The 14,051-nt window shown below is 50.6% G+C and overlaps 1 protein-coding gene across 39 annotated transcripts in view, besides 2 other annotated features; it reads left to right on the forward strand.

The window, feature by feature from the left end:
* Positions 1 to 14,051, forward strand: part of APBA2 (amyloid beta precursor protein binding family A member 2) — a 232,342-nt gene that overhangs the window by 173,097 nt on the left and 45,194 nt on the right. For 3 of the 39 annotated variants that reach the window (NM_001353796.2, NM_001353797.2, XM_047432427.1), the window contains exon 1: positions 11,588 to 12,029. The exons of the other annotated variants lie outside the window; for them this stretch is intronic. In NM_001353796.2, coding sequence (NP_001340725.1) covers positions 11,967 to 12,029 — 63 coding nt within the window. In that variant the 5' untranslated portion in view covers positions 11,588 to 11,966. Of the gene's footprint in view, positions 1 to 11,587; positions 12,030 to 14,051 lie in introns of those variants that run through there. 39 annotated transcript variants of the gene reach the window in all.
* Positions 4,873 to 5,384: an enhancer, noted in NCBI's record as "H3K4me1 hESC enhancer chr15:29356146-29356657 (GRCh37/hg19 assembly coordinates)". NCBI's record gives its function as "activates a minimal SCP1, AML or CMV promoter by ChIP-STARR-seq in primed H9 embryonic stem cells {active_cell/tissue: H9 hESC(primed)}" and the evidence as "EXISTENCE:reporter gene assay evidence [ECO:0000049][PMID:30033119]".
* Positions 5,385 to 5,897: an enhancer, noted in NCBI's record as "H3K4me1 hESC enhancer chr15:29356658-29357170 (GRCh37/hg19 assembly coordinates)". NCBI's record gives its function as "activates a minimal SCP1, AML or CMV promoter by ChIP-STARR-seq in primed H9 embryonic stem cells {active_cell/tissue: H9 hESC(primed)}" and the evidence as "EXISTENCE:reporter gene assay evidence [ECO:0000049][PMID:30033119]".

Genomic DNA, 14,051 nt, shown 5'->3' on the forward strand with positions numbered 1-14,051 from the left:
ACAGAGAGGGGAAGAATTTGAGTCACCCAACTCTCACGTTCCCAGCTGAGGTTGAACAAGGCTTTGCCTTCTTGTTTCAGCTCTCATACTGTAAACAGCTGTTCTTTTCACAATCTATTTAATGTTCTTTGCATTTTTGTTGATATGTGTGTGTGTGTGTGTGTGTTGGTGATAAAATGGCCCTCAAGTGTGGTGCTGAAGCCTAGTGATCCTAAGCACAGAATGGCTGCCATGTGCCTTACATGTGCTAGAGAAGCTTCCTTCAGGGCTGAGCGACAGTGCTGACTCGTCTATGCTGCCACTCTGGGAGGTGCTAAAGTAAACTTCTGTAGCGTATGATGAAGTTAAGGAAAAGGTGGAGGAATGGCTAAATTTGCAGATTCATGGGACAATAACTGATTAAAAAACACATAGTGGACAGGTAGAAAACCCAAGAACTTTACTGTCTTGTGATCTAGGGTCAGGGAAATGTTAAACTCTTCTCAGCTAGTGTTTTATGTTAAAGAAATATTGCATATAATTAATTATTTATAAGAAATCTATATTAAACAAGGTGCGTATAAACAGAAACACACATAAAACAAGGTTCTGTGTTGATTCATTGACAAAAATGTGTCCCGAGGCTCATAGGAACCTAACCCTGTATCGCCCCTAGGAGCAATGTATTCAGTATTCATCAACTCAGTGCTCAGGGCAGCTTTACAGAACATAACTATGTGAATGAGAATTGGTTGTATTTGGTTGGCAAATGACTTTGGGAAACTTTGCTGCAAAGTTTTTCCCTTCTTGGGGGTTTACTGATTTCTCACACACAAGTAGCATAAAGTCCCACGTTCGCTATAGCGGAGACACCAGCCAGCCTGGCCAGTGCTTCCCAAACATGGTGTATCAGCAAGCCCTTTTCCCTCCATGCAGGGTCTGTGGGAGAATACAGACCCAAGCTTTACACCCTGGGGAGTAAAGGACCCGTACACATGAACTCCCAAGGCCTCTCCCTGTATGCTTCAGTTCCAAGATGATTCAGCAACCCCAAATGGTGATGATGGAAAGGTTGTCATTGTGTTATCATCAGGACCCTTGGCTTCTGCAGATTTAACCTTTCTTATTTTGTGGTTTGTGTAAAGTCCGTGGGTGCCGGTGGAGGTGGCAGCAGTGTTGGCGGTGACTGCCAGCACCATGTTAGGGGTGTTAGGAATATGATCGCAGTAAATCCTAGAGCAACCCAGAGAGAGGGAGCTAGGGTTAGTCCCGTGTTGCAGATGGCACAGTTAAGTAGCTCACCTGTGAATAGACTGTGGACTGTGTTATGCCAAAACCCGTGCCTCTGAACAGTGCATAACACAGCCCTTGAAGAACCTGAGAAGAGAAAGCGTCCAGTTCTGTTCAGTCCGCGTTTGAGCCTGCCTGCTGGAGGGTGAGTCAGTGTGGGGGAACTGTGCAGTGTTCCTCCTGGAGAGTGATGGTCTCTTCTCCTCTGTTGTCTGTTTCCTTGCTGTTGAAAGGCTTGGCGTGCCCTGTTGTTCTCAGTGAGTGGGATACGGTGCCAGTGAGGTGACCAGTAGATACGGAAGCCTCCGGTCTGTAAAATGTCCCCATCTCAGTGCTAACGTGTCCTAAGTTCACCAGGGCTCAGGCCACAGATCAAACAAGTCAAGTAAAGATTGTTCATGTGGCATTTTTCTTAATTTTTTTGAGCTTTGTTGACATAACGTATTGATTTTTTTTTTCATGCAGTGATTAAGGAATACATGAGTTGGGTCCAGCAAGGCTCGTATTGTGTGACCTGATGGAATTAGTATTACTACACCTACCCATGTGGCCCTCTACTATCAGGCAGTGAAGCGTGAGTGGAGGGAGGACCCCAGCTGGGCACTGGTACCTGGCTCAGTCTCACAGCTCCAGGGATGAGCCTGTGGACCTGGCACGTCCTTGGTGCCTTCCCTTGAAGAGAGTAGTTTGCTCATCAGTGCTTTCCCTGGGGCAACTCACCCACACTCCTGGGGGGCACCATAAGAGCGTTTGTCCAGCACCAAAGATCCTAGTTCTGTGGGTCTGTGGGGTGGCCCTGGATGGCATGTTCTCTGGATGCCTCTGGGTGGCCTGTGGAACATAAAGGGTTTGGCGAGGGCTGGACGGATTGTTTTGGAGCCCCATCCCACCTGTTACCTTGTGACGTCTATCAGGAGATACACTGAAAAGGTCAGCCCTGCCTGAAATTCTCCCTGTAGAGACTTACTCCTTTGGACCTTGGAGATTTCTGGAGCTGCAGGCATTCCTTGTCCAGGACCTCCATGGCTACCGAGTTGAGGTATTTGATTTACTCAGCAAGTGTAGAATAGCTCCACACCTTGGAATGGCAAACCAAATATGCGTTTTGATTATTTGGGGTTTTCATGATTTCTGTTTATCCCTGACCCAGCTGGTGCTTTCTAGAAAGAGCCTTCTGCCAATAGAAAAAAGAAGAAAAATCAATACATGGTAGCCAACTTAATACAAGTTAAAGGGAAGCATGGTCGAGGGCCCCGAGGCCACATCGAATGCAGAATTGTGCATCATTGCTCATTGTAGAGATGCTTTGGCCGTGACTTGGCATTCAGTAGAGGCTTGCTTTTTGAAGAACCTTCTGAGAGTGTGATAGGAGTCTGGTGCCAAGGGAGAGAAGGTGCTAAAAGCACAGGTAACTGGGTGTGTCCCCCAGGTGGGAGGCAGTGGTACCGTGTGTGTTCTGAGCCACGGCCTCACACACATGCCCCGCTGGGCAGCATATGAAGTGAGTGTCAGTATCTGCTTTACAGAAGAGGACTGAGACAAGAGTGGCATGGGGTTGTTGGCACCCAGGCGCCCCCCCTCCATCAGCGTGTGGTGGGGCAGCAGGTGTGCAGATGGGGTGGTCCTGCACAGAGGGGCTTTGGGGCTTGCACTGCGCCCAGGAGGGAGTGGTCTGGGGTTTGTCTAAACCTGGCCCACAGTAGGATGGAACTTGGGAAAGAGCCTGTAGGTGGTGCTGAGGGCAGGGGGTTATGGGGGGCATTGGGGCATGGTCTGCCTGGGAAGGGGAAGGTCCTCTCCAGCCCCCAGGCCTCAGTGGAGTAGTCGGCTCCCTCCTTTCTGCAGCCATGCCTCAGATTCTAGTGTCCCTTGCCCCGCCCACCCATGGCGTCAGGCCTAGCACTCCTGCTCTGCATACGGGGAGGCTGCACGGGAGGGTTCTTGGGGTGCTCCTGTGTCCCCTGTCGTCTGTACTGAACCCCTTCCCGTGCAGCTCTGCTCCCAGCACTGTGACAGGGTGGACACCGCACCTCCTGCTACTGATTCCCAGGATTGCCTTGAAAAATAAAATCCTACGGGTGTGCATTGACGTTTCAATCCTGGCTGGCTCCGCATGAGCTTCTGAACTTGATGTTCAGAAGCTCAGGGCCCATTTGCTGAGTCAGCACAGCTGCCTTCTTTGATTTGTATGAAGCCTTTTGATGTTTTGATGACATGTCACCATGGGTGGCTGTTATTTTCAGGGAGCAGTTTATCTATCAGGATCTGGGATTGCTTCGGGTACTTTTAAAATCTAGGTAAAGCCGGGGTTTCTAAAACATTGTTCTAAAACATTGTCAGGGCAGAGCATGTAAAGCTCTCCCACTACCACTAATAGTGATCTAAAAAGTGCCTCTCCCCTCAAACACACCCTAGTCCTCGGGGAGAAAGCAGAGTGCGGTGGTTAGGAATGCTGGAGCCACAGTCAGGAAGCCGGCATCCCACCCGGCTGCAGCAGCTTGGGGCCCGGGAACATTCTGGATGGGCCACCTGTGCCAGCAGCCCCCCATCTCGTGGGGCTGTGGGGAGGGGAGTTGATCTGGGTCAGTGTCTGTATGGGTGGGGAGGGGAGTTGATCTGGTCAGTGTCTGTATGGGTGGGGAGGGGAGTTGATCTGGGTCAGTGTCTGTATGGGTGGGGAGGGGAGTTGATCTGGTCAGTGTCTGTATGGGTGGGGAGGGGAGTTGATCTGGTCAGTGTCTGTATGGGTGGTGCGGGGAGTTGATCTCGGTCAGTGTCTGTATGGGTGGGGAGGGGAGTTGATCTGGTCAGTGTCTGTATGGGTGGTGCGGGGAGTTGATCTGGTCAGTGTCTGTATGGGTGGGGAGGGGAGTTGATCTGGGTCAGTGTCTGTATGGGTAGGGAGGGAAGTTGATCTGGTCAGTGTCTGTATGGGTGGGGAGGGGAGTTGATCTGGTCAGTGTCTGTATGGGTGATGCGGGGAGTTGATCTGGTCAGTGTCTGTATGGGTGGTGCAGGGAGTTGATCTGGTCAGTGTCTGTATGGGTGGTGCGGGGAGTTGATCTGGTCAGTGTCTGTATGGGTGGGGAGGGGAGTTGATCTGGTCAGTGTCTGTATGGGTGGGGAGGGGAGTTGATCTGGGTCAGTGTCTGTATGGGTTGGGAGGGAAGTTGATCTGGTCAGTGTCTGTATGGGTGGTGCGGGGAGTTGATCTGGTCAGTGTCTGTATGGGTGGGGAGGGGAGTTGATCTGGTCAGTGTCTGTATGGGTGGTGCGGGGAGTTGATCTGGTCAGTGTCTGTATGGGTGGGGAGGGGAGTTGATCTGGGTCAGTGTCTGTATGGATGGTGCGGGGCATGGAGTGCTTGTGCAGATGATGATGATGATGATGAGTTTTCAGTCCATGGGAAGCTCATCGGGTCTGGGGGAGGTGGGTGGGCAAGTCCCTGCACCCAGTTTGGGTACAGGCCATGCTGGGCAGGGGTGAGGACACTAGTGGACCTGTCCTCGGGAGTGACACAAAGGAGGTGGTGAGCCCTGCTTGTGAGATAGGATGAGAGGAGGACCAGGACTGGTCAGGGCCACACTGGAGCTGCTGGGGGTGAGGTCGGGTAAGGGCCTCCCAAGGTGCCCCCACGCTGTCCCCTCTGCAGGGCCCTCCTGAATGTGGCTTGTGCCCTGCTGGAGAAGTTCTCACATGCCTCTTTCTACTCCAGAGTCACTGATTTGGGAGATGGGGCAACAGCTGCACAGCCCCAAGGGCTGCCCTGATTTTCTCACACCGAATATCTAATAGGAAGTTAGCTGAGAAGCCCACACACCTCTTCTTCCAGGTAGGCAAGCTGGGCCTGGGACTACCTGTCTCTCACCGACTCCAAATGATAGCCAAGCCTCTCTTAACCTTGGGCACCTTTTTTCCAGTTTCCACCCCGAATTCACACTCTTCAAAGCCAGCTCCTCCTGCTGGGCTGCTCCTGATGTGGGGGGCCGGCCCTCCCTGCAAATCTCTGGCATGGCCCTTGCAAATTGGCACCTGCCACGTGGTTGGCACTGGGACTGCAAAGGTGAAAGTGGCATTATCCTGCATTTGAAACTCATTCTAGAGGGAGACGGATACATGAGACTCTCCCCGCCCCCATCCAGGTGTGGCCAGGCTCCAGACGAGTTCCAGGCAGGCTTCCAGGACAGGCTCCAGAGTTAGGGACAGGCGGAGAGGCTCTGTGACTTTGAGAGGGGCTTTGGGAAGTCAGCCGACAAGGTGGGGATGAACATAGAGGTGTGTGGGTGTCCTCAGCATGGAAGGGGCTGGAATCGTGATGTGGCTTTGAGCCTGAAACAAGACAAAGGGAAGGCGAGGGACATGGGTTGGGGGATGGTGATGAGAGAGAGACAGAGGGTTCCACTGGGGGCATGGAGGGGAGCCAGGAGAGAACTGGGGAGCTGAGGGGAGGGACATTAGGAAGGCCAGATGTAGCAGGGCAGTTAGGAGATATCTTACTGGGGAAGAAAGCACCCGTTGGCGGTGGCCACCTGTTGGCGGGGTCCCCTGAGCCTGAGCAGCTCTGGTGGATTGGGAAGGCAGAGGCATGGGAATGGTAGATGGACAGTGTCTATAGAGACTTGCACGGAGGGCCCAAGGAGGTGCCAGCAAGCCGAGGTGCTCATAGTGTGTGTGTGTGTGTGTGTGTGCACGCACGCTTGTATGTGAGATATTGACTTGCATTGTACTCATCTGCCGGTGGGGTGTCTAGGGCAGATTGTGGGGAGTGAGAGCATTGGGTATGGGACCCAGGCTGTCCACGTGCGTCTGCTTCTTGAGGCCCCGTACCTCCCGTTCTTGGGCCTCCGTGACACCTGGCATCATGCCTCTCTTGCACCAGAGGCTTGAGAGACACCCAGTTGGCAAAATCAGTTAGTCTGTGACATTCCCTAGGAAGTGCAGGGCTCGGTGCAAGAAGTTATAGAAGTATCTGTTTAGGAAGAAAGATCGCATGGCTGAACACGCTGAGATGCGTAATGTCACCCATGGTGTGCTTGCCCAAGATGTGATAGCGTGGTGATGGCAGACATGGGAGTTTTACCCCAAAGCATTCAGATCACAACCAGTGCCAGTCAGTTACTATGAAGACATGTGACTATGGTAATAGGGGGCTGACCTATTAGAATAACTCCTAATCCTATGTCAGATAATACCATGGGCAGCTCAAGAAAACTACGCACAACTCAGACATGTGGAGAAAGGAGATGTGGAATGGAATGGAGCCCTCTGGGCTGATAGAGGCCTCCAGGACTTGCCACACCCACGTCTGCCCCCAATTCCCCAGTCAGCCTTCACAGAAGAGAAGTTGGTCTCTCTCCAGCTGAGACCAAGCCAAGACCCAAAGTGCTGGAGCTGAAGGAAGTTTGGGCTAGGCTCACAGAAGCTATTGTCCCCTCCTCCAGTGTCAACAGCTACCCATGGTCCAGGCCTCCATCTGGTCCTGGTCCTTTTAAGAGACACTGGGTGCTGACTCACTTCTGGGTCTGTCCCACGGGTGGCCTGCCTGGTCTGCTGTGGGTGCAGCCAGACTGTGCAGGTTCGGGAGCCCGAGGTGGACTTCAGGTAGGGAGACGCTGCTCCCCAAGAGCTGCTCGGGTGTGACGTCAGGGTGGAGGCTGTTGCTGTGTGTGGCGGCATCAGTCATTTACCCTCTTTCTCATTAGCCCCTGTCCTTCGGCCCATGTGCTTGCAGGTGGCCTCTGATTCTGCTTCTGGAGACTGTCTGCCCCCTCTGATTCATTCATTGCGGCCCCAGTTATGTGAAAGATAGCATGTTCATTATTCATTCATTGGGCCCCACTTTTAGATATACTTGTGTTCATCTTCGAGAGAGGGAGGTCATCCAGCCATTCCCCAGTCCTCAAAACCCACTCCACAGGCAAAGCAGTGGTGGGTCAGGGCTCCTCTTGCTGCATTGCGGCCTTGTATTTGCTCTTCTGAGCCACAAGCATAGCGAGAAAGTACAAAAGAAAAGGATTTCAATGGTATTCACCCTGAAAAAGGAAGAAAATTGTGACACAGGCTGCAATATGGACAAACCTTGAAGACGTCCTGCTAAGTGCAATGAGCCAGTCACAAAAGGACAAGTACTGTGTGATTCTACTTCTGAGGCACCCACAGTAGTCAGAGTCATAGAAACAGGAAGTAGAGTGGCGGTGGTCAGGGGCTGGAGAGAGCAGGGAGTGGGGAGCTGGTGTTTAATGGGTGCAGAGGTTCAGTTGTGAAGATGGAAGCATTCTGGAGGTCATCGGTGGTGATGGTCGCTCAACAGTGTGAATGTACTTAATGCCACTGAATTGTACACTTAAAAATGGTTAAGATGGTAAATTGTATGTTATGTATACTTACCACAATAAAATAAATAAAGAAAAGAAGAGGTTTTTCAGTGAATAACTGGTTTGAACCAATTTGGATCCTCTAAAACCAAGTTGAGCCAGTCTGAACCCATGTAGCCATTATCACACCGTGTTAGGCTATTCTTGCACTGCTTTAAAGAAATACCTGGGGCTGGGTAATTTATAAGAAAAGAGGTTTAATTGGCTGACAGTTCTGCAGGCTGTAGAGGAAGCATAATACTAACATCTGCTTCTGGGGAGGCCTCAGGAAGCCTTCAATGGTGACAGAAGGCAGAGTGGGAGCCAGCACTTCACATGGTGAGAATGGGAGCAAGAGAGAGAGTGGGGGTTGGAGGGGGAAGCGCCACACACTTTTAAACAACCAGTTCTCTTGTGCACTCAAAGTAAAACCTCACTTACTACCAAGGGGATGGCCCACATCATTCATGAAAGATTCACCCCATGATCCAGACACCTCCTACCAGGCCCCACTTCCAGCATTGGGGATTGCATTTCAGTATGAGATTTGGGCAGGGACAAATATCCAAACTATATCACCCACAAAGAAGCAAAAACATTTTGGGCCAAATCAAAACTATTTAGATGTAGCCACAGTGGGGATGAACTGTGATTATACCCATTCAGGCCTGTGGACCTGTGGACCTGGCGTGTGTGGTCGTGAGGCGGTGGGTCGGCACATCCCTGGGAGGTTTCAGGAGGACATTCAAGACCAAAATGAGCCATGAGTAAATAACACAACCACATCCTGAGTGGGAGTAGGGGAGCCTCCCCTTCTCTCCTAGGTCTTGTATGGGTCATGATCCCGCCTTGGCAGGAGTGGAAGGAACAGATCCCACAGGCTGTGGCTTATGGTAAAGTGATTGTGGTCATGCCTTGTGAGTGTCATTAAAATAAACATATATCGTTAAATCCACCATCAAATAACAGCTATTTCTGCCATCCTCTCGCCTTTTCCACAAGTTTAAATATCCCAGATATTCTACTGTGTATATTCCTAAAAGCAGACAGGTAGATTTAGTAAAGTTAACTGGATCATTGGTACCTTCTTTATAGATCATCTGGTGAAACTTGTTTTTCAAATTATGAGTTGTAGGGCTTTGTTTTAATGTCTGTAGCCTTAGGCAGTTCCATTGAGACTAAGTTTTTTTCTTATTAAGACTAATCTTATTGACTGGAACTGTGGACTCCTCGTATTAGGAGAACAGAGATGTGGCCTACATAAATTAGTGGAAGTTAAATACTGTAGAAAATGCTCTCTGGAAACCAAAGTCTAACATCGACTTACTACTGGTCATTCAATTTCCTTTTGGCTTGGGCACCATCGTTACATTCATTTTTCAGATGTCAAGCTAGTTTTCTCAGAATGTGTGCAGGGCTCGAGGCCAAGTGTGGAGGCCACAGGGGAGGTCACAGGTCAAGCCTTCTGGGAGAACTGCAAGCTTGAGCCTCTGATAAAGTCACGCGATTGAATTTTAGCCCCAGTAGGTTGCTGTCGTTAAACTGTGCACACAGGGCTTCTTGCTTTTAAGTTAGCAGGATGGAAAAATTGCGGATGTTTGCAGCAAATGTGTAGAACCAGTGGCAGAAGCAGCCATGCTGGCCCCTAAGCAATGGTATTAGAAAGGGTTGATGAAGATTTTCTCATTTGAGAGTTGAACAAAACCAAATGGAATTCTCCCTAGTTCCGCAGCACTGGTGGGTGACTCTCCCTGGGCCGGTCTCAGCCCTGCAGAAAGGGGCACTGTCTGCTTAGCTTGGTCAGCGCAGGGTCTACTGCAGCAGAGTGCCAGGTGGATCACAGCCCTCTTGTGGGGGAAGGATGGGCGGAGCTCCCACCTTCCCCACAAATGGACACAGAATGGCACCTGGTATGTGAGGCAGGTGCAGGTGACCAGGAGAAGGGGCTGTCAGTGGTTGATGGACAGCTGCCTCTGCTGCCTGGATGACCCACCCCCTCCCCTGGACCATCTCCCACTTTGCCTGGGTGTCAGTCACTGGAGGGTTAGCTCAGTACAAGCTGGCGGATGACCTCCGTAGAGCTTAGGTGAAGGGGCTCTCACAGGGCAGTATGTTTGAGACCCTTAGAGGGCTCTCTTTACTCTTGCTTCTCCTATTATTTTTAAACTGTAGTAATACACACGTAACATAAAGTTTACCATTTTAAAGTGTACAATTCAGTGGCATTTATCACAATGTTGTGCAACCACCTCTGCTCTTTAGTTCCAGAACATTTTCGCTGCCCCCAGAGGAGACCCTGTATTTATTAAGCAGTCACTCCCCATTCTTCCCTCCGCCCCCAGCCCCCACAGTGAAAAATCTGTTTTCTCTCACTTTGGATTTGTCTATTCCGGATATTCCATAAAGATAGGATCAGACAATATGTGCCCTTTAGTGTCTGGCTTATTTCATCATCATGTTTTCAGGGTTCATCCCTGTTGTAGTGTGTGTCAGTACTTTGTTCATTTTTGTGGCTGAATGATATTCCACTGAATGGCTATTTTACATTTTATTAATCCACTCATCCACTGATGGACATTTGAGTTGTTTCTACCGCATGATTAATGTGAATAGTGCCACTGTGACCATATGTGTACAAGCTTTTGTGTAGACACTTGCTTTCAGCTCTTTTGGGTGTATCACTAGGAGTGGAATTCCTGGGTCATGTGGTTATTCAGTGTTTACCGTTTTTAGGAACCACAGATGTTTTCCACAGTGACAGAACATTTTACATTTTCACCAGCAATGCATGAGGGTTCTGATTACTTTCAAAGGAAAAAAATTAAGCAGCCCTGTCACCTTGATGGTTTGGTCTCTGGCCTCACCGCTTCAGCTCCTCTGGCCTGATCTCCCAGGGCCTGCTTTTGTTCATGTGTGTGTCTGTTTATACCCTGGCTCATCCTGTGGAGGGTCTGAGGCTGGCAGGATCACTGGGTTCTGTCTCCACATTGGAAGGTGAGCTGTCCTAGGTCAGGGTCTTTGTTGCATGCATCGTCCTGTCCTTAGCAAGAGCTACCCTGTGCCATATGGGACATACAACAGGCACCTGTTCAGGCCTGGCCATGTGGGCCCACCTTTGGATGGTACTTGACAAAGCCTCAAAATGCAGTGACAAGTTTAGATAAATATGATTCTGTTCTGAAATGCTGCACTGGACACAGCCATCCACTGCCTGCCCTTTACAGGGCTCTGTGAAGAGACAGTGAACAATGAAGTGGAGGACGTGTGCAGGTGGCCCCAGTGGTCGGTGATGGAGGAGAGATTTCAGCAGACCAAGCACGGAGAATAAAGCCAGGCCAGAGTGTGCTATCAGCCTGTCTGCCCCCTAGAGCTGATGGACTCAGCAAATAACAGTATAGGGTACCCAGTTACATTCGAATTTAGACGGGTATAGGATTTTGGTTTTTCAAGATGAAAAAACTTATAGTGGTGAGGGTTGTACAACATTATGAATTTAATAACACTGAACTGTACACTCAAAAATGGTTAAGATAGTATATTTTATTGTATGTGTATTTTACCATAATAAGCAATTGAAAAAATAAGTTGTATTTCAGGTAGATAGCGAATAATTTTTTAGTATAAATATGTTCCATGAGATGTCTGGATACCGGGATGCAGGAGGGACTCCCCTTCCTCCTCCCATTCACAGGCCTGCCTAGAGATTTGTAAGTACAGACTGACTGGCTGTTTTTCCCAGTGTGTCTTGTCGTGATACTTTTAAGCCACAGATCCGCTTTGAAAAGATATGATCTCCCCCAGGGGAGTAACTATTATAAGAACAAATACTCTATCCAAGCTTCCATTCTCCTCAAGATAAACATCACAGGAGTGACCTGAATTGTAAAGAGGAGTGGAAGGAAAAGAACAATACCGTAATGTTTTCTGAGCCACGCAGATGTCAGGGGACGGATCCAAGGGCGTCTGAAAGAAGACGTCCACGCTGCTGAGTGAGACCTTCCTCTGTGCTGCTGAGTGAGACCTTCCATCTGACCAGGGGGTCATGCTCTCACTGCTCCTGCTTGGAGTTCTGGTGCTGTAGCGGGTCTCGGCCGCCCCTTCTGAGCTGGGTGGAGGAAGAAGTCCCTGTTGAAATATCAGATGAGTAGGGATGATCGCCTCTTTTGAAAACAGGAGCCGTGAAGGGATTCCCAGAGAAGATTGTCATCTAACGGAGTCATTCGTCCGCCCAGGACTTCTCTGTCACAGGGTTACGTTTGGGAGAATTTTCACAGGCCACTGGGGATGGCTGTGGCTAGCCTGGCTTTCCACTGATGCCCTCTATCCCTAACCTCAGCTCCTGACATGGCTGTCATTCCAGAGAGTGCTTGGAAGCATCCTGACTATGTTGACGATGGCCTGAGCGGAGTGAGTGTGCACTAGTTTGGTGTTGTTTCATCCAAAGCAATGTGATTATATTGCTGTACTTTCAGTTTCATCAAGCAGGCAAAATGAGAATTGACACTTTTTAAAATCCAAGCTTTAGTTTCACCACCTGGAGCCAAGGTGTTTATTAGAAAGATTTATTGGCATTAGTGTATTTTTATTACAAGCATTTATCTCTGTGCTGAACAGTTGCCCCTGAGTCCCGTGTGCTGTGAAGAGTCTGTGCCACACCACACATTAATTTTCTGTCCTCAGAGCTCCGGGGACACACGCTGATTCTCATGCTGTGCCTGCCGCCTTCTCCGAGTGATGGCTGATGTGGGTTTCAGGCCCCACTACAGTTACTCAGCGACAGATGGGACCCCGTGTCCTCTGTTGGCTGTAGGGAGTTGAGGCGACCCTGGCTGGCATCTTGTTTTGAGGGGTGGCTGGCTGCTGTACTTTGGGGAGGGCATAACAGGATTTAAATAGTATCTTTATCTAGGATGCCTGGAGCCCCAAATCCATGTGGGCCTCCCACTGTGTGAATTTCAGATGCTGCCAGCCCCCCAACCCCGCCACCCCTGAGATGGAAATTAGAGCACCAGATGGGCTCTCCCAAGGAGAAGCATCACAAGCCCACCCTCCTGCCTCTTTGGAAAGTAACCCTGGCTGTTTATTGTGAGATGTGGTTGTCATGGTGACAAGTGGACACCCGCTTGGGAGGGAGATAGAGGAAACGCTGTTATGGAGGAAAGGTCACCCCTAGAGACAACCTTGTGTTGCCCGTGGACACCCCATACTATGGCCTCCGTACTGGGGAGTCCCATGGGTAGGGCATGGGGGTGCAGCCATCAGTCTGTGTCCCCAGCCAAGCCTTGAGCCCTGGCTTGAAGTTGCATGAAGGTACAGTGGCTGGCCCAGCCCTAACCCGTGGTGGATGCAGCCCCTGTTGTGTCCCCCAACCCCTGACTTATCTGGCCGCCTGATGAGAGTCTGTCGCCCTACATCTGTGGCGCTCCCTCTGCCTGACAAATTAAATCCCGCCCAGCTTGCAGGAGGGATGTTGTTAACCTGATTTCATTTGCTGGTGGGCTGGTTGATTTCTTTGGGGTTTTTTTGGAGATGACCAGCACCTGTCCAGCAACTAGTAAGGCAGGGAAGGCCTCCAGGAACCCAAGTCCATGCAGAAGGGCACTGTGTTGGGGAACTTTCAGACAAGTGGGTAAAATACCGACGTGTGCTATGTGCACCTTGAAATAGCAAAGTGTCCTCAACAGAGCTCTCTGGGGGATGTCCCAAATAAGGTTTACTTTAGGAGAATGTGAGCGGCATCTGAGGCGAGATTCTCTTGTTGCATCCTTTGGAAGCTTTTGCTTGGTGTTCCTTGGCCATAGCAGGAAGATCAGTGCCAGGGATGGGTGAGGGGAAGAAACCTTGCAGGAGCGGTACCTGGGCCAGTCTCAGCCCTGCAGAAAGGGGCGCTGTCTGCTCCACTTGGTCAGTGCAGGGTCTACTGCAACAGAGTCTCGGGTGGTCACAGCCCTCTTGTAGGGGGAAGGATGGGTTTTGCTCCTGGGATGCTAGGCTTCGAAAAGCAGGGCAGTGTGCCAGCAGTCCCAGACAAACCAGAGCCGGGCCTTTGGTCATGCCAGGACAGCAGGGTGTGGTCTGGCTAGGCCTGTGAGCCCCTGTGGGGCTCAGGGGTAGGGGCAGCAGGACTGGGGGAGGCAGGGACCAACCAGACTTCAGAACTGCTGGGTCCCAGCTGCACCCCTGCACCACCTCAGCTCTAGGAAGGGCAGCCCCATGTAGCTTTCTTGAGATGTAGCAGCAGTGCTCTCCCTTCTCCCTCGCCATCCTTAAAGCCCGGTGCCCGCTCCCCTGCATCCCCCACTCCCATTGCCTCTGAAATCCGGTGGTGTCTGTGATCCTGGAGGGGAGGCTTAGCCAGCAATCATTCCAACTACCTGGGGCACGGCATATCTGCCCCCATCAGTGCTGGGAGGGTGGGCCCAGATCCTT

The sequence above is a fragment of the Homo sapiens genome, chromosome 15 (assembly GCF_000001405.40).
Source record: "Homo sapiens chromosome 15, GRCh38.p14 Primary Assembly".
NCBI classification, from domain to species: domain Eukaryota; kingdom Metazoa; phylum Chordata; class Mammalia; order Primates; family Hominidae; genus Homo; species Homo sapiens.